A 20,452-nucleotide genomic window follows, 5' to 3' on the forward strand; every position below is an offset into this window, starting at 1 on the left:
TGCATTCTAGTGGGGATAAAAGACAAGAAACAAGTCAGATGGAGCTATGCGTTATAAAGAAAATCAAGCCTATGGGTATAGAGAGTGACAGAGTGACGTGGGGACATGTTAGTTATATAAGGTGAGCAAGGATTTCTATTAAAAGGGGACATATGAACCGAGACACAAGGATATTTGTGGCATGTGTATCCTAAAGAGAATATAACAAACATAAAGGTCCTAAAGAAGGAACACGCTTGGCCTGCTGAAGAAATTGCAAAGAGACCAGTGGTGTGGGAAGAGAATAAGCCTTTGTTTCTCACTGAATGTTCACAATCTTTGCCATGGTTTACTCTTCACAAGATTTTAATTCTTTTTTTTTTTTTTTGAGACGGAATTTTGCTCTTGTTGCCCAGGCTGGAGTGCAATGGTGTGATCTTGGCCCACTGCAACCTCTGCCTCCCGGGTTCAAGTGATTCTTCTGCCTTAGCCTCCCAAGTAGCTGGGATTACAGGCTTGTGCCTGGCTCATTTTGTATTTTTAGTAGAGACGGGGTTTCTCCATGTTGGTCAGGCTAGTCTTGAACTCCCGACCTCAGGTGATCCGCCTGCCTCGGCCTCCCATAGTTCTGGGATTACAAGTGTGAGCCACTGTGCCTGGCCAAGATTTTAATTCTTTAAAAGCCTTTAGATTCGAACAGATTCAGAGATTCTAACTTATCTGAAACGTTGAGATTGTTTCAAGTCTAGGGGTAAGTGGGGGTGTTACTGAATAAGGTAATAATTTGCTGTAATAAGTATTTTGGCCGAATATAGGCTTGTAAACAATCTAAATTATAGATATATTGCCTAGTTTTGAGAAAGAGAAGGTGGTATAGTTGGAAGATCTAAGAGCCAGATCTGGTTTAGAGTCTTGGCTCTATACTTACTTGCTAGGAGCAATACTCAGTTAGAGTTGTAGGTGTTAGTACATATATACCCTTTTACTCTTTTATTCTAATTTTGTAATGTAAAAGTAGCATAGTGGTTATGGGGAAAGAATACTGGATTGGGAGTCAGAAATCCTGAGTTAAACACCTTTGGTGCCACTTATTAAATGTGTGCCCTTAGACAAGGAACTTAAAAGCCTCAATTTCCTTATCTGTAAAAAGAAAAAAGATCTCCTTCATAACATTATAAAGATTAAATGACATAATAATCTATGTAAGTGAAAGCAATTTGTAAAAAACAAAATTCAGATCATATCTATTTTTAAACTTCTCACAGAGCTTTCAAATTCATATTTTACTGAGTTTATAATTTTCACCTAAGTGCTTTCAAAATTTGTTTAATTTTACCTTTTAATTTACCTATTCATTTGCACTTAAGAGTTGCAAAATTTAAAATTTATCCTTCAAAGTCAGTTCCCCATATTAGCTTATGGTAAACTTTATAAAATAACTCCTTAAATTGCATAGCAAAATTCAACAGATAGGAACTCACTCTGAAATCCTCAAAAAGGGTCAGAATGCAGATTTTTCACTTTAACTTTATTAACTGACCATTTTGCAACCAAAAATACGGGCACTCAGAGAAACTGATTTGAAAAAGTAACTAACAACCATTCTGTTTACTTGCACAACTGCTAACAACTTTTTAGCAGGTTTTTGCTGTTTCTATCTTCTGAACCTCTCTTGCTTAGCTCAATCACTGAGTGCTAAGCCTAAGTTTGCAGTCATGTATTTATTATCAAATACTTGATATATGTTCTGAAGGCTGCACTAGACAGAGACATTTATTTTTTAGTATCATATTATTTACCAGCCATTAGTTAGCATCCTTATGTTCCTGGACAGTAATTTAAAATGCAATCCAAAAGAATAGCAGCCAAAACCTTTAAAACATCCTCAATGGTCTTCAAAAATAATTTACAAGACATTTAACGAATGGAACTTACTCCATGCCCTGTGCAGTCTGTCGTGCAATATCTATAAGTTTGATCATCTCAAATTTGGTCTCAATGATATGGAGATGGTGATACAAGCTGGAGCCCTCACACCACTGGGTAACAATAGCCAGTTGTGGCTTTGTGGAATAGCCCATGAAGAGTAGGATATTCACATGTCGTGTTTTCCTGTACAAAGAAATGTGACAGTAAACATTAAATGTCGACAAACTTTAGCAATTCTTACAAAAGAGAACCAAAGTAGTCTGTCGGTAAAATGTTGTCAGAAAAAGCTTTTTTTTTTTTAAAAAAGGCAACAAAAGGATACATTTAGAAGAGACTGGCAATTGCCAAGTCTAACCTCCTACTTTATGCAGAGATATCTTTTTAAATATATCTGACAGGCAACTAGAGGTTGCTTAAATACCTTCAACTATGGGAAGTTCATCACTCAGTTGTAGCTGACTCTCATATCTTTATTTAAGTGGTTCTGGTATTATAAAGTTTCCAAGTGTTGAGACAAAATCATTTTCTTACAACTTTCACCTCTGGCTTGCTTCCCTGGTCTGCTCTCTGGAATAACTTTTTTTTCCGCACTCTGGAATAACTGTGCACTCTCTTGAACATAACAGCCTTCTGTGAACTAAATATCCTCAGTTCTGTTGATTATTTTCCCCCGTTACACCTCTAGAATCTTCCCTATTTAGGTGGTCCTCACTAGGCATATCCTAGTTTGTCAATGTTTCTAAAATTCCAGAGCCCAGGACTAAATACCACCTCTAAATGTATTCTGATAAGCTTAAAACTGGAGAGTATTCTTTTCATAAGTAGAACTATTACTTTATATTATCAGAATACTATACTTCCATTAATTCAGTCTAGGACTAAGTATTCTATCAGCCATACCATATAACATTGCATACTACTTAAAAGAATGTGGTTAAAGACAAAAATATACTCAGACATACTCTGTTTCTACAAATTTATTCATTTTGAGTAAATCTGTAAAGCTAATAGTTGCTACCACTGGGAACCAGGAGCTAATAAAAATAACTTCTTTCTCTGGAAAAGAGTAATTCACACAAGCTCACCTGAGTACTCCTACTTCATTTTTGAAGGCTTGTAACTGCTGAGGTGTAGGTGCTGTCACATTCAACATTTTCACTGCCACATCACCTAAAAGGCAATTGTTACTCCAAGTGTCATTTCAATTTTTAAAATTTAAAAGTATAAAACATTCTTGGGTGTTTTCACTAATTATCATAGCCCTAACTCCATACCATTATTAAATCACAAATAAATTATACTTTAGCTATCTAAACTCCATTTGTTTTCTAAGGCTAAAAATTCAACTAACAATGATATTCCTGTACTAGTATTTCAAAATATCAATCCAAAAAATAGCCAACCTTGTTTGTTCCATGGAAATTTGGTAAAATCAATTAAGTACCCATGGTATTTTCCAAATTATTTGACAATATTAAATTATACTTACTAGGCTTAATATTTATTTACTAACTGAAACTGCAAGTAATGTTGAAACTACAATTACCAGGCCCTATGGAATTTTGCTTAAAAGTAGGAAACTATAAAACTTTTTTATCAGAGTAGTTAACATTTTTTTCAAATTTATGGATTACTTATGATACTTTCAATTAGGAAAATGACTAAAACTGTCACTAAAATTTAAAAAAAACTTCATGTGAGTTAATGGGTGCAGCACACCAGCATGGCACATGTATATATATGTAACTAACCTGCACACTTTGCACATGTACCCTAAAACTTAAAAGTATAATAATAATAAAAAAAGAAAATGATATTTTATTAAAATCATCAAAAAAAAAAAACTTTATGTGAAACAGCTGTAACGTCAACACTGCCAGTAGGTGTTTAAATTGGTACAACTACTTTGTAACATTGTTGGCAGCATTACTAAAACTGGACATATGCATACCCTGTGGTCTCACAATTCTGTCCTAGGTATATATACCCATCAATGGTTACATGTTCACCAAAAGACATACACTAAAAATGTTTACAGCACCAGCATCAATCAAAGCCCCAAACTGGAAACGATCCAATTGCAACAGATGAAAGAAGAAATCATGTTATAGTCACACAATGAAATACTGTAAAGAGAATGAATGACCTCCAACTTCACACAACAATATAGATGAATCTTATAAACAATGTTGAGTGAAAAGGGCCGACACAAAAGAGTACACACTATGCACTTCCTGTTGTAATCACAGTGGTGGTTACCCTTGGGAGAGAGGTGATTGGCTAGAAGAGGACATGGGAGGGTGTTTCTAGAGTGCTAGTAATGTTCTGTTTATTTAATTTTTTTAGAGACAGAGTCTTGCTCTGTCACCTAGGCTGGATGGAGTGCAGTGGTGTGATCATGGCTCACTGCAGCCTTGAACTCCTGGGCTCAAGCCATTCTCCCACCTCAGCCTCCTCAATAGCTGGGAGTACAGGCACATGCCACCATGCCTGGCTAATTTATGTGCACTTTTATACACAGGCTGAGTATCCCTTATCCAAAATGCCTGGGACCAGAAGTGTCTCAAATTTCAAATTTTTTCTGATTTTGGAATATTTTGATTATACTTACCAGTTTAACATCCCTAATCCAAACATATGAAATCCTCCAATAAGCATTTCCTTTGAGCATCATGTCAGCACTCAGAAAGTTTTGGATTTTGGAGCATTTCGGGTTTGGGATTTTGGATTAAAGATACCCAACCTGGCCAGGTGTGCTGCCTCACACCTGTAATCCCAGCACTTTGGAAGGCCAAGGTGGGTGGCTCACCTGAGGTCAGGAGTTTGAGAACAGCCTGGCCAACATGGCAAAACTCGTCTCTACTCAAAATACAAAAATTAGCCAGGGGTGGTGGTACGCGCCTATAATCCTAGCTACTCAGGAGGCTGAGGTAGGAGAACTGCTTGAATCTGGGAGGCAGAGGTTGTAGTGAGTTGAGATTGTGCCACTGCACTCCAGCCTGGGCGACAGAGCGAGACCTTGTCTCAAAACAAAACAAAACAAACAAAAATAAATAAATAAAGATACTCAACCTGTATGTATATTTTAATAAGTTAAATCAACATTGATTTTCCTCAATTATCAAAGTAATACAGTGCTTATTCTACTGTTTGTATCATAAAATACTGTACAGCACTTAAGAAAAGTTTAAAGACATTTTGAAGGTATAAAAAAATTCCCTTAATTATGTCACTCAAAAGTGACATTATATGTTATTAGGCTTTTACATGAATTTAGTGTGAATATTTATGAACACCTGTGAAAAGATAGATTAAGGAGATAAAAACTAAAACACAGTCTTTTTTTTTTTTTTTTTTAAGACAGTCTCGCTGTTATCCAGGTTGGAGTGCAATGGCGGGATCTCGGCTCACTGCAACCTCCACCTCCTAGGTTCAAGCAATTCTCCTGCCTCAGCCTCCTGAGTAGCTGAGATTACAGGCGCCCACCACCAAGCCTGGCTAATTTTTTGTATTTTTAGTAGAGATGAGGTTTCACTATGTTGGCCAAGCTGGTCTCGAACTCCTGACCTTGGGTGATCCACCTGCCTCGGCCTCCCAAAGTGCTGGGATTACAGGCGTGAGCCACTGTGCCTGGCCTAAAATACTGTCATATAAAAAATTATGTTATATATTTCTATGAGCTCCATAATATGGTATCTTACACATACTGCTTTGAAAAATTTCATATACCAAAGACACCTTTCTACATCAATAAATGTACCTCTACCATGCCATTTTAACTCCTATATAATCACATATGATGGTATAAATTTATCCAATTCTCTATTAGTTGGATACATGTTCACTTTCACTTTTCATTGATATTAAACCTTTGATGAAAATACATCCACTACTCTTAATATAATCCAATTTAAAAAGATTTTGTCCAACTAAGAGGCAAATAATGATGTCTATTTTTTGAATTTGCAATTCTTTGATAACTAGTAAGGCTGAACATTTTGTATATGTTTACTGGCCACTTATATTTCTTTGTTAATTTTTTTTTTTTGAGACGGAGTCTCACTGTCACCAGGGTGGAGTGCAGTGGCGTAATCTCAGCTCACTGCAACCTCCGCCTCCTGGGTTCCAGTGATTCTCCTGCCTCAGCCTCCCAAGTAGCTGGGACTACAGGCACGTGCTTCCACACCCAGCTAATTTTTGTATTTTTAGTAGAGATGGGGTTTCACCATGTTGGCCAGTATGGTCTTGATCTCCTGACCTCGTGATCAGCCAGCCTCAGCTTCCCAAAGTGCTGGGATTACAGGCATAAGCCACTGCGCCCAGCCATTAAGTACATTTTTAATATGTTTACTTGTGACTTATAATACAAATAAAATTATCAGCTGAAAGACTCTAAAAGAAAATAAAATCCTTTTGAGGACTAGTTAACCTGGAGGAATTCCCCTTTAAAAATTATTACTGTAATAAAATGGTAGGAGTCCCGACTGCTGTGAACAGTTTTTATTTCCCATAATTTTTGTTAGAAACTTTTGGAGGAGTCCTGAAACTAATCAAAATAGTTTATTGATGCGAACAGTGAATATTTCCTTTGATGATATTTTTTACAAAATAAAAGTTGTTAAACATATCCTATTATGACTTGTCACAATGTCACCACATTACATACTTACCATGCCACTTTCCCTTGTAGACTGTTCCAAATGATCCAGATCCAATTCTTTGTCCCACTGTAATCTGCCCATCAGGAATCTCCCAATCATCACTCGAGTCCCGTCTACCAAGTGTTTTCTTGATAAAAACAGTAAAAAAGTCAAGTCAAGCCAAACAGAAAAAGAAAACCTTATGTTTCACCCTAAGTACATTACCTTATGCCTGAGAGGGATACAGGAAGAGATCCCCTTAAGAAAAATTCTCTGGAAGAATAGTAGTTAAAAGTATGACTCTTAAAATACAAAACTTAAATTTAAGACTGAAGTCAATATTAGGATGGAAAAAATTTATTTTTATTTTTTATTTTATTATACTTTAAGTTCTAGGGTACATGTGCACAACTTGCAGGTTTGTTACTTATGTATACATGTGCCATGTTGGTGTGCTGCACCCATTAACTTGTCATTTACATTAGGTATTTCTCTTAATGCTGTCCCTCTCCCCTCCCCCTACCCCATGACAGGTCCCAGTGTGTGATGTTCCCTGCCCTGTGTCCAAGTGTTCTCACTGTTCAATTCCCACCTATGAGTGAGAACATGTGGTGTTTGGTTTTCTGTCCTTGTGATACTTTGCTCAGAAGGATGGTTAGGATGGAAACAATTTATTAAAAAATATAAATTATTTATGGGGTATGAGCAGGAATGTATATTACTGAAATAAGTAAAATGTTTTTATCATCTGGAAGACTTTAAGGAGCAAGATAAGTGCTGCTATATTTGTGAATAGTTTTGGCTCTAAATCACAAAAAATTTTAAGTTAACCTGTGGTAACTACTGACAATTCATCTAGGTAGTCTTTTTCAATCAGTGCTAAATTTCTTCATGTATCTTATCTAATTCGGTCTTTCCAAAAAAAAAAAAAAAATCAACATATAAAATTACTTTGGTAGGGTAAAAGATCCTCTTATTCAACAATTAGTAGCAATACTACGGCTAAACAGTATTCGTTTTTTATTTTTAAATTTTACTTTAAGTTCTGGGATACATGTGCAGAATGTGCAGGTTTGTTACATACGTATACATGTGCCATGGTGGATTCATTTTGCAGAAGAAAGTTGATTTTTTAAATAGGGAAGAATGTCCTTCAGTAGATATCTGAAATATCTGAATTCTGGACCAGCCTTTTCGTGCCTTCTAATATTAGCTTTCTCTCTTTTTCCTTACTTTAGAACAGAATACTGTTACTCTTCCAAAACTGCCTTTTACTAAATTATATTATAGATGACAGCAAAAAGCAGTGCCGTAGAAATATGCTTTAAGCAAAAAACTATCAGTTCTTAAATTTATTTAATTATGGGAATTCTGTGTCACATATGGACATAATATATCTAAAGGATAATATTACATTTGGCTGTGACTTCTAAGAAGAAAGAATTCAGAGAAAAAAAGATATCATATACTCTTACCATTCGATTCCTGTCTTCTGAGGATGAAGATGACTTCCTTTCTCGCTGAGGTCCTGGAGATTTCTGTAAGGCTTTCACGTTAGTTAGTGAGCCAGGTAATGAGGCAGGGGGGGTAGCAGACAAACCTGTGGTTGATCCTAAATTAGTGAAAAGAAAAATGTATACATTAAGGAGGAGCAAGTATGTTAATTTATCAGGGGTAGAAGGTTGGGGGATATTTAGACTTAATTTTAAAATGTAGTGCATGTTTAAATATAGACCTTTTGGAAAGGATGGGCCAAAAAGGGGCCTCATTTGGTGATTACAACTATAATTTCTTTTAGTTTTCTGGCCAATTTAATGACCTTTAAGATATCTGATGATAGACATAGACACATACTTTATTTACTGGTGCAAAATCTAGGAGAAAAACAATCTCTCTAAAACAAGACAGAAATACTAAAAATACTCCCAAGTTTCTGTTTCTTTGATGAAAAAAATCAAAAAGCAAAATAAATGTAAAAGCCTATATAACAAATACATTTTTAATTAATTATTTAATATTACCTCAACAGCCAATCAATATTAAAAAAAAGGAAATCCCCAGATGGAAACATTTTCTAATAATGGCCATAATGTTGAAAATATCTGACTTATTCATATTAATCACTAAACTCAAATATAATCCTAAACTACATGCTCTACTATTTAAGAGATATTGGTCAGTATCATTGGTTCCTGGAGGCTTACATTATTAAACAAAGATTATTTGTTACCTACAAAACAAAGTTAATGTAAATAAAGCCGGGCATATTTCTCAAGACTTTCTGAAAAATCTCTGCCTTTGTAAGTGAGAGCTTTGTTAAGTAAGCGCTATGGCCTCTCAGCCAAGTTACTATAAATACAAATATTCTATAGGTCAAGTGAGCCTGAGGAGTATACTCTTTGGAAGTGATCTCTGTTGGCAGGGTTGCATACCTTTCTCATGGCAAACATCCTGAGTTAAGGTACAGTAGCACCTGGTTCAGAAGAGTTCAGGGCAGTGAATCTTACTGGGGCCTGAATACAGCTGAGTAGAACTCAGATGTCCAGGCAATAGTTCTATATACAGAACAACAAAATGACCTCAAGAAAATAGATTCTTTTTAAAAAATGACTGCTACTCTTAAGGAAAAAAAGAGCCACTATCTTTCAGATAACAAGGATACCAATAACCACATTTAAATGTTTAATCTGTAGAAAATGTTTACCATTATTACATCATATTATATCACCATGTAGAATTTTCATTATCTCATATGCAATTTTCTAAAATAAAATGGTATCCACAATGTCTATTAAGTAGAGCACAATCCATTTTCTACCTTCCATTGATAATTTTCAACATTATAAAGCCTCGACTGCTTGACCAGGCTTCACGGTTATGATCTACTAAGTAGTTTTATTGTATCACTTAATTTAGTTGTATTACTCACTACTGTATGACTTCCATCCCATTCTATGGATTTTCTGAGAAACAGCAGGGCTGAGAGAGCAAAAATCTAAAGCACCATTACTACATTCAGAATATATAACAGATACTAACTAGCAAGAGTCAGTAAATATAAATCTTTAAAAATATTTAGAGAAAGACATCTGTCCCAATTTTTACTTTTTTTTTTTTGAGATGGAGTCTTGCTCTGTCACCCAGGCTGGAGTACAATGGTGTGATCTCGGCTCACTGCAACCTCCGCCTCCTGGGTTCAAGCGATTCTCCAGCCTCAGCCTCCCAAGTAGCTGGGATTACAGGCATCCGCCATCATGCCTAGCTAATTTTTTTTGTATTTTTGTAGAGACGGGGTTTCACCACATTGACCAGGCTGGTCTCAAACTCCTGACCTCAGGTGATCCATCCACCTCGGCCTCCCAAAGTGCTGGGATTACAGGCGTGAGCCACCGCGCCTGGCCCGACTTAAGTTTTTACAAATCAGTTTAACTACTAAATAAAACATGGCAAGATGAAATGGGAGAATGAAATTATACTGTAAACTTTCTTCTATTAGGACATAATTAAAAGGATAAATTCTCAAATTTCTGAAGTACACTGAAATATCTAAAATATGTTATAAATCTTTTTTTTGTCTTTTTTAACAGCTCCCTACCTTTGACAAAAATATACACATCCCATATTGGGGGAAAGAAAAACCCAAAAAACACTGCTAGTATTACAGAATCTGAAAAAAGGCCAAAAGCCTAATAAAATCTCATAATAGAAGTTTCCATTGACACTTTAATTTTCTTAAAAACCACAAAATTAACAAATATTAAGTCATCAAGAATAATCACTTAAATGCATTAAAATCAAAGGAATCCAGTAAGCTCTTCCCCACCCACCTTATTTATTCCCACCCACTAAGTTTAAGAAATTATCAAGACCAAGAAGTAATAAAATAACGAAAAAACAAGATGGAAATCTCAGGTCAGGATTTTCTTGCTTTTAAAAATTTATGACAGACAGCATACAGAAAGCTTGTGGCAGTGAGTACGTGTGAGACGTACATTCAAAGCATTCCAGCCAGGCCAAACAGAAATTTAGTACTGAAAACTTTCACACTTACAAACACACGCTGTGAGGGTGAGGCACAAACAGCATCTGTAGTTTTATATTTAGTTTGCTTTGGGTGAAAACAAGAAAGAAGAGCCCAACTACCTCTGAACACTGGGCCAGGCTCAAAATCAAACACTATTTCACTGGGGACAGAATGTAGGAGGGGACTGGGAGTCCGGGATTGGTATTTCCGAAGACAGCGCATCAGCTGGTTCAAAGGGGCTGTTAGAAGAGAAAGAGAGGGGCAGGCAAACACAGGAAGACAGACACACAGAAGAAATGAAAGAAGTCATGGGGAATAAACAAGATGAATTGAAGCCTGTTTCATAAAATAATTCTGGACCAAAAATCTGCTTATTTTCATAAAATCCCAATGATTTTTTAAAAAGTGACTCATGAAAAGGACAAGAAATGCCACTTGCTTTTAGGTACTAAGCAGGCTGTGTTTATGACTAAGTTAATTTTGTGATGCTAACATGATGGCAACATTTAAATGCTGGATGTATTAGGCAAAATTATCAAAAGCCACAGCTATTAAGACATACGAAAGTCAAACTGGCAGCAACATTAATTGGCAGGTTCATGAAATAACAAACAGGAAAAAAAAAGCTTGTGTAACTATGTGCTAACATCAATACCAAGTCCAGAGTATAGAATGCAGGCTTATTATTATTTTGGTTGCTTCATGGGTATACAGAAACATAACAAAAGAAGGTTTATAACAATGTTTACTCAATGTAAAATATTGTTGAGTCTGGGCTTAGATATTTTGAAGATAAAGAAGGTCACAGTGAAGAGGTCAACTCTAAGCATGATAAGCAGTTATTACAGGTCTTCCTTACTAGGCAGAAGACAACAGGGAAGGTAAGTGTAAAGGACCTCCTGGAAGAACACTTCAAGACAGTCTCAAATATCACCTCTTATAAAACATTATATAGGGTAATGCTTACAAAAAGTATTTTCTTAAGCAATGTTGTCTTATGTGCTAGAGTGAATACTAGATGAAAATTCAGTTGGAAATCTCAATTCAGTTTCTCATTTGTGTATTTACTGACCTAAGAAGAGGACAAATGGGCTTTGCCATTATGGGTCTGTTCTATAAAATGTACATTTAAAACACTTCCAGAAAGTTGAAGGAAGTGGTTGATAATGTCTGACAAACCCCCTCTTCAGAATGATTTAGCAAAGTTAAGTTTTATCTGATTCTAAGGTCAATCTTTAAGTATCAGTGGAGCCCCACAAAGGAAATTTATCAACAATAGCTTTCAAGATGGTTAGAAATTAATAAAGCGGGTATAAAAATTAAGGATCTTTCCTTGGTAAGATATTTTAAAACTGTAGTCTACGGCCATACCATCCTGAACGTGTCCGATCTTGTCTGATCCTGGAAGAAATTTTAAAACTGTAGATAATACATTTTAAGACTTCCTTTTGGCCGGGCGCGGTGGCTCACGCCTGTAATCCCAGCACTTTGGGAGGCCGAGGCGGGCGGATCACGAGGTCAGGAGATCGAGACCATCCTGGCTAACACGGTGAAACCCCGTCTCTACTAAAAATACAAAAAATTAGCCGGGCGTGGTAGCAGGCGCCTGTAGTCCCAGCTACTCGGGAGGCTGAGGCAGGAGAATGGCGTGAACCCGGGAGGCGGAGCTTGCAGTGAGCCGAGATCGCGCCACTGCACTCCAACCTGGGCGACAGAGCGAGACTCCGTCTCAAAAAAAAAAAAAAAAAAAAAAAAGACTTCCTTTTATGTCCAGTCATCTTTTCTACTCATGTTATAAACTAGTTAACATTTTATTAGAGGTAAATGACAAACACTACAGAAAAACAAAAAAATTTTGGGTTTCTCTACACATTTTTCTCTGTGTCTGTTACTTGAAAGAGGCAAGTATAAAGGAAATAAGCAGCAAAGCAATTGCAGTTTCCTTGAGTTTTTAAAAAAACCTGAAATCACTACTTACCTCCATCACCACGAAATCCTTGGTCTCTAATCAAGTCCTACAAATAAATAGTAATGTATATTTATTCCAAGCAAGCATATAATCAGAGAGTAGCGATAACACTGAATTTTCCACTAACGTTAAAAGAATTATTTTATTAATTAAAACAATACATCTTATAACTATTACACAAAACAATTTGGAATTATCTAGTGAACATAATACAATCTAAATTTTGAAGCACTTGCCAATGTAAACCTATAATGAAACAATTATTAGTCCTAATCAAATGTTGATGTCCATTTCAGGCCATTCAAAACCAATGGCTTCCATTATCCTCAACAATCTAATGCAGGAGCAGAAAACCAAATACTGTGTTTTCTCACTTATAAGTGGGAGCTGAATGATAAGAACAAGTGGACACATGGGGGAAACAACACATACTGGGGCCTGTTGGAGGGTGGATGGTAAAAGGAGGAAGAGCAACAGAAAGAATAACTAATGGATGCTGTGCTTCATACCGAGGTAATGGGATAATCTGTGTGGCAAACCGCTGTGGCACATGTTGACCTACGTAACAACCCTGCACATCCTGCACATGTACCCCTGAACTTTGGAAATAAATAAATTTTTAAAAAATGGCTTCATCAATCCTTAAAAAAAATTATACTGGTGCACATTAAGAGAGATAAAAATGTTCATATCCTTTGATTCTGTAATTCTACTTCTGGGAACTTTTCTTAAGGAAATAATTCAGAAGAAAAAGTGATATGCACAAAGATGTTTAGTGCAACATTATCCATCATACTAAAAAGTTATAAATAATTATTTCTCTATTATAGGCATTTTGACATATTTTGGTTAAGAAAATTATGGTGTATCAATTTAATGAAGTATTATGCAGCTACCAAAATAATTATGAAGCTTGAATCATGAAACATGTTTATAGTATAATTTAAAAATATAAAATTAAAAGTACACTGGTTACAATCATAAAAATATGGATGGATAAGGGCACACTAGAAGAGGAAAGAAACAAAGTGGCTCATAGAAAGGTTTTGTTAAAATTTGTCCTTTTTTTTGAGACTCAGTTGCTCTGTCGCCCAGGCTGGAGTGCAGTGGCGTGATCTTGGCTTATTGCAACCTCTGCCTCTTGGGTTCAAGTGATCCTCCTGCCTCAGCCTCCTGAATACCTGGGACTACAAGCACGCACCACCATGCCTGGCTAATTTTTGTATTTTTAGTAGAGACGGGGTTTCACCATGTTGGCCAGGCTGGTCTTGAACTCCTGACCTCAGGTGATCCGTCCACCTCAGCCTCCCAAAGTGCTGGGATTACATGCATAAGCCGCCGCAACCGGCCACTAAAATTTGTCTTTATTATTAAAATATAGCTCTTTATGCGCCGGGTGCGGTGGCTCAAGCCTGTAATACCAGCACTTTGGGAGGCTGAGGCTGGTGGATCACGAGGTTAGGAGTTTGAGACCAGCCTGGTCAACATGGTGAAACACCATCTCTACTAAAAATACAAAAATTAGACAGGCATGGTGGCACGCGACTGTAATCCTAGATACTCAGGAGGCTGAGGCAGGAGAATTGCTTGAACCTGTGAGGCGGAGGTTGCAGTGAGCTGAGATTGCACCACTGCACTCCAGCCTGGGTGACAGAGTGAGACTCCATCACAGAAAAAAAACAAAAAAAAAACTATATATATATTTAGCTCTTTATAACAACGATGGTAGTGGGGACAGTCGCTACTGGTAATGCAATTTGGGCCTTGATGGGTAGAACTTGCATTAGTCTGTTTATTTAGTTTAACTTAAATATGAGGGATTGAATGGCCCCAAATATCTCTGAATAGTCTCTGCAAATAGACAACTTTTTGTTTACAGGCTAAAACAAAGTAAATTCTTTAAAGATGTATTTCTATCATGTTTAATGTATCATATAAAGTCTTCAACATTTTCTACAGAAAAATCAAATACGTACCTGAAAAGAAGGTGACAGGAGTTATATGGCTACTAACAAATATAAAAATCCTAGTGATGTCATTAACTTTCCATTCTTGAGAGCTTACAATCTCATGGGAAGTAAGATGCACACATTGGAAGTAAGTGAAAATCAAATAATTTAAGAATAATTGCATAAGAATATAATAAAAGAGATGCCAAAGTTTGCTGCTCAATTGATTGCCAACTAAGTGATACAGGTGATAAGATTTTGAGATGAAGTCTTGCTCTTGTCACCCAGGCTGGAGTGCAATGGCACGATCTTAGCTCACTGCAACCTTCGCCTCCTGGGTTCCAGCGATTCTCCTGCCTCGGCCTCCCGAGTAGCTAGGATTACAGGCGCCTGCCACCATGCCCGGCTAATTTTTTATTTTTGGTAGAGATGGGGTTTCATCATGTTGGCCAGGCTGGTCTTGAACTCCTGACCTCAGGCGATCCGCCTGCCTTGGCCTCCCAAAGTGCTGGGATTACAGGTGTGAGCCACTGCACCCAGCCGATAAGATTTTTAGTGCTGTGTATGATAACTATAGGACTTGGTCACTGATAAAGCAGTCAAGGAATTACTCTGAGTTGGGGTTTCAGAGATAGGCATGTAGAAAAGCAAAGAGTCTTTCAGGTGGAAGGAACTACAAGACAAAGGCCATATCCCTTTCTTTTCTGTTGCATCAGCTCTGAAACTCTCCACAACTATGGATTAACCAAATTTTGCTTTCTCCACTCTTACAAGTTACTGCTAGTAACAACATAAACTTAGATTTTTAAATTCCGAATGTGTTCTTAAAGCTCCTTGACAATCTTTTCTACTCATTCTAGGTTACAAAGGTTCTTCTAGCATTTGAAAACTGGATATTTCAACTTTTTTCCCACTCTTTTGTAGTTCCTTCTCTTACTTACATCCCTTCCCTTCATCATAATAGAGAAAACAAAAGCCATCAAACAACTTTTCTGCTCTAATATCTATAACTATTTGCATATTAATATTAGCTATAATTTCTGAATTCTTATTATGTACCAGGCATAATAAGCAATTCAAACCACTATGGAAGGCAAACACTACTAGCCCCAGGATTAAATAATTTGCCCAACATCACACAGTCTGTAAAGAGTTACAGAGCTGGCTATGTCCATCTTTAATTCTTCACAGTCTCTGAGAGACATAATTTCCAAGCTCAAGGAATTTTACTACATCAATCATTTCCTCTCTTGTTATCTTCAATTTCTCTTCACTGCCTTCTTCCTCTCCAGTTACAAATATACTAATGTCTCTTACATTAAAAACAATTGTCCCTTGGCTGGGTGCAGTGGCTCACGCCTGTAATCCCAACACTCTGGGAGGCGGAGGTGGGCGGATCACTTGAGGTCAGGAGTTCAGGACCAGCTTGGCCAACATGGCAAAACCCTACTAAAAATACAAAAATTAGCTGGGCATGATGGCGGGAGCCTGTAATCGCAGCTACTCGAGAGGCTGAGGCAGGAGAATTGCTTGAACCCGGGAGGTGGAGGCTGCAGTGAGCAGCGATCACACCACTGCACTCCAGCCTGGGTGACAGAGCAAGACTCCATCTCAAAAAACAAAACAAAACAAAAACAAAACCCGAAAAACCAAAAAAAATTGTCCCTCAACCCTGAATCAAGCTATCCTCTTTTGTCATTCCTTCACAGCCAAGCTTCTCAAAATTAACACTTAATCCTACTTCCTCACCTGCTGCCTTCTCCTCTTACTGGCCCTCTAAAACAGCTCTCAATGAAGTAAAGATGACATTTCAATTGCCAAAATTGATAGTCCTTTCAGTCTTTATCTCATTTGAATCGTAATGGCAACTGACACCAACTACTTTGGTATTCTTGAAACCCCTTTTCTTCCTTTGGCTTCTGCAACACTTGTTCTTAGTTATCTGGGGCTAGACTTAGGAAGAGCCAGCCCATAAAGGAGACAGAGAGTCTCTGCCTGCACCTCCAATGTTAATGTTTATCAGGGTTACATTTTCTCCCCTTTTCAATTTACATATGCTCTTTGAGCAATTTACATCCATGGCTTTAACTGACATAAATATGCTAATTACTCCTAAATCTGTATCTCTACTCAAGGTCCTTATATCCAACTGCTACTGGATTTCTAAACCTGAAAGTCCCACAGGCATCTTAAAGTCAATATATGCCCCCAAAAAGCTAAAATTGCTGCTTCTGCAAACCTTGTTTTCCTTTGGTATTTAACAAACTGTGCTATTTACCAGAAACTCGGTCTATAAGCTAAGTATCTATAAGCCAGAAACCTGGCATTATCCTCTACTTCTCATATTTTTCACTCCTCTCCTCTACTACAAAACAGTATAGTGGTTAAGTGTAAGAGAGAAAGGCCAGGTTTGAACCCACTTCAGTAATTTATCAGCAGTGTAATCTGGGTATGTTTCTTAACCTCTGTAAATCTAATTTTCTTAACAGTAAAATAAAGATAATCATAGTACATAACCTATGAGTTTTTATGAGGATGAAATAAGAAAGTCTACGTAAAGCACTTAGCATAGTACCTGTATGTAATAAGTATTCATAAATAGTAGTCATTTTCAACATGATTCCTAAGACTCTTACCACTAATTCACTAATTCATAGTCTCCCTCCCCAAAACACACTCTTTCTCAGCACCAATGCTATTACTTGAGTTTAAATATCATTTCTTGTCTGAAATACTGTAAAAACCACATTATTGACAGTCCTGCCTCTATGTGTTTCCCATTTCATCTATCCTCCACTCTACCATCAAAGATTTTTCTAAAATATAGAGCTGATGACTTCCTCTCCCAATCAAAATTCTTCAGATTCCCTAGCACTGCTTTAGATTTCAGAGTAATACACAAAGCCTTTCACTGTAGATATTACCTGCCTAGTTTCACCTTCCACCATTCCCCAAGCCTTCTCCTGGACCCTAAACTTCAATATCAACTATTAATTACATTCCATGTAAAGGCACTTCTATGCCTTTCATTTCCTTAACAAATGACTTTCCTAACCCCCTTATGTAGTGTACTCCTACTTATTCACCATAATCTGGCTTAAAGGTTGTCCCTTCTCTGCTCAATGTTCCTAGATCCAACCAGATGGAGTTTATTACCCCCTTCTCTAAACTACCATTATATATTTTGTAATTATCTATTTAAATGTTTGATTCACCTATTAGACTGTGACTTCCTTGAGGGCAAAGGCCATGTGCTAATTCATAAATAATTCCCAATTGCCTAACACAATGCATAGCCCACAGTTATTAGTAAATCTTTTTAATGGAATCATAAGTGCTTGAACATGAATAAAAATGCTAAAGAGTTTGCACTTTACCTTGTAATCAACAGTAAGTCACTAAAAGTTTTGGAACAAGAGAACAGATGATGCTAGAAGTGTAAAAAAATTCTGACAGTTGCAGAAGGAATGGAAATAGATAGAGAGAAATCAATGGCAGAAAATCTATTTAGGAGATTAATGTAGTATATAATTCAAGTGAAAAAATATGGGCCCAAATGGCAGCGGTAATAAGTAAAAACCAGTTTGAGATGCACATGAAAAGGTGATACCCTGTGACTGGTTACGAGAGAGGATGAAAAGGCAAGATACAAAGATGACACTCTAAATGAAGCCCAACATACCAGGGAACAGTGGTAACAATCAGAGAAAAAGGGAATAGTCTAAAAGGATGATAGTTTTCAAAGTAAAGATGAAGGTTGCAATTTTGGACAGACTGAGAACAACCCTAACCTGGACATATGGTTTGATTTCTTATATCACATTCTCCTTTTCCCCTTTCTTCCTTTGTTTTTAGGTCTTGCTAGATAGAGGTGAACCTTGCTAGTTAAGGAAAACTAGTACTAGAAAAAAGTCACTTAAAATGAACCCAATAAAAATAGAGAAAATTTCTTAGTAAAAAGTGGGAAGAAAGTCTGATTTGCAAATTTACCTAAAATTACAAAATTAAAATTTATAAGTTTTTCTTTTATATTAATATTTAATAAAATTTATAGTTTCAATTATATGCTAATTTTAAAATAAACACAGAAAAAATCAAGTTTTTGTTGGTCATAATGCCAAGCTTATGATAGCACAAATTGAAATTCTTTTCTTTTGAGACAGGGTCTCACTCTGTTGCTCAGGCTGGAGTGCAGTGGTGCAAACATAGCTCACTGCAGCCTTGACCTCCTGGGCTCAAGCAATCCTCCCACCTCACCCTCCAGAGTAGCTGGGACTACAGGCATGCCTCACCATGCATGGCTAATTTGTTTTACTTTTGGTAGAGATGGGGTCTCACTATGTTGCCTAGGCTGGTCTCTAACTTCTGGGTCAAGCGTTCCACCCATCTTGGCCTCCCAAAGTGTTGGGATTACAGGCATGAGCCACTATGCCTGGCCTGAAATTCTTAATTTCATATCCACCTCTTATAGCACAATCATAATCATTTTTATAAAAGTTTTAAAGAACTTAATTCTGTCAAGGGCTTCTATCAGTCCTTTGATATTTAAACCATTTTCATTTGAAGATGACTTTTATAGAGATGGTATCATAAGGGAAAAAAATCAGAGTGACTGTATAACCTGGAGTCAGTGAAATATTTAATGTCATCAGAGAGAAACCAGAAGCTTTTCTGATTTGTGATTCACAAGAAGCTTATCACTTAAAATAACTGTGATAAATGAAAAATGGCACTTATTTCTGATCTAAGTTATAATTATAGCAGAAAAATAAAGATACATACTTGGTTTTTTTTTAGTTCTAGCAATGCTGGATACTTACATCAATATTGACAGGTTCTATTGTGTTTATATGCACATTGGGAGCTGATGAGGATCGGTCTCGTTGCCCAAATTGATTTCGATGATCTTCATCTGCTGGTCGGAAGGGCTGTGGAATTGGAATGGATTTTGAAGGAGACGGACTGGTGAGAATTTGGGGCCTGGAAAAATGAAGTCATTGGAAGATAAGATTCAGAGTAACGATATAAAGGTAATAATATTTAAAAAGGAAGATAAAAGGATTTTCTTGTTTTTATATTCTCAAAATCATTAAAGCATTAAAAACCTAGCAGTAATGACTTTTAAAAGTATTAATTTAAAAATCCAATACTGCCAAAGCTGCTTTGCTCAAGTAGGCCCTCCAGGAACTATCAATGATAAGACCACTGATTCTTACCTGGAAAACACTAGGGAAATTTACTTATGGCTAGAAATTACCTGTGGCCATCAACTGAAGAAGTTCAACCTTTGAAGTTATATAAAAATGCTCTGAGAATGACTGAATATAATTTGCCATTTTTTTCTAACATTGTCTTGACATCTGAATTTACTAAAATGAAAATTTTACATATTAAGAAATTATAAATATTTTGAGAATACAAATGCATATTTCAGGACCTGAATGATGTACTTGTTCCTTTACAGGAGTTGAATGAAAATCCAGAACAATATTGAAAAATCCTTTTCAAATTCAGAAGATGATCCTCAGAGTGCCAATATCTCTCATATTCTGGATTTTTTATCATGCCCATTATTGATAACAGAGACACAAGAGAATCATATATTAACCACTAAAGCAAATATTTTTGAAAACTGCTATTTGGAAAACCACCAAAATGTTACATTTGTATGCTATTTGGAAAATCACCAAAATATGTTACATACCTATTTCGGTATGGTAGCTAAATAACATAGTCTATGATATCTCACCCTAAAATGAACCTGGCACTCACAGAGAACACTAAAGTTTTGAGACTAGATTGTAAACACTTGGAAGGATGTAGCCCCTCAGAAAGGGTATCCTAGGAGTGGGGAAATGAGTGTCACTTGATAGATGAGGTAAGCTGTCTCACTTAACTCCATCAGGACCAATGAATGGCTAAGTGCCAATAAGCTCTCTTCACATATTGGTTATCATTCCAC

The 20,452-nt window shown here is 36.6% G+C and overlaps 1 protein-coding gene across 19 annotated transcripts in view, besides 1 other annotated feature; it reads right to left on the reverse strand.

Annotated features, from left to right (window-relative positions):
- Window positions 1-20,452, reverse strand: part of BRAF (B-Raf proto-oncogene, serine/threonine kinase) — a 211,602-nt gene that overhangs the window by 61,670 nt on the left and 129,480 nt on the right. For 10 of the 19 annotated variants that reach the window (NM_001378474.1, NM_001378470.1, NM_001378475.1 and 7 more), the window contains 6 exons: window positions 19,311-19,470; window positions 12,551-12,587; window positions 8,024-8,160; window positions 6,579-6,696; window positions 2,994-3,078; window positions 1,915-2,091 (listed from right to left, as the gene is read on the reverse strand). In NM_001378474.1, coding sequence (NP_001365403.1) covers window positions 1,915-2,091; window positions 2,994-3,078; window positions 6,579-6,696; window positions 8,024-8,160; window positions 12,551-12,587; window positions 19,311-19,470 — 714 coding nt within the window. Of the gene's footprint in view, window positions 1-1,914; window positions 2,092-2,993; window positions 3,079-6,578; window positions 6,697-8,023; window positions 8,161-10,691; window positions 10,812-12,550; window positions 12,588-19,310; window positions 19,471-20,452 lie in introns of all 19 variants that reach the window. The other 9 variants (XM_017012559.2, NM_001374258.1, XM_047420766.1 and 6 more) reach the window with 3 other exon arrangements.
- Window positions 18,826-20,025: an enhancer, noted in NCBI's record as "BRD4-independent group 4 enhancer chr7:140493623-140494822 (GRCh37/hg19 assembly coordinates)". NCBI's record gives its function as "activates an origin of replication core promoter dependent on BRD2, P300/CBP, MED14 and CDK7 cofactors, and independent of BRD4, by STARR-seq in HCT116 cells {active_cell/tissue: HCT116}" and the evidence as "EXISTENCE:reporter gene assay evidence [ECO:0000049][PMID:35650434]".

This window comes from Homo sapiens, chromosome 7, assembly GCF_000001405.40.
Source record: "Homo sapiens chromosome 7, GRCh38.p14 Primary Assembly".
NCBI lineage: Eukaryota > Metazoa > Chordata > Mammalia > Primates > Hominidae > Homo > Homo sapiens.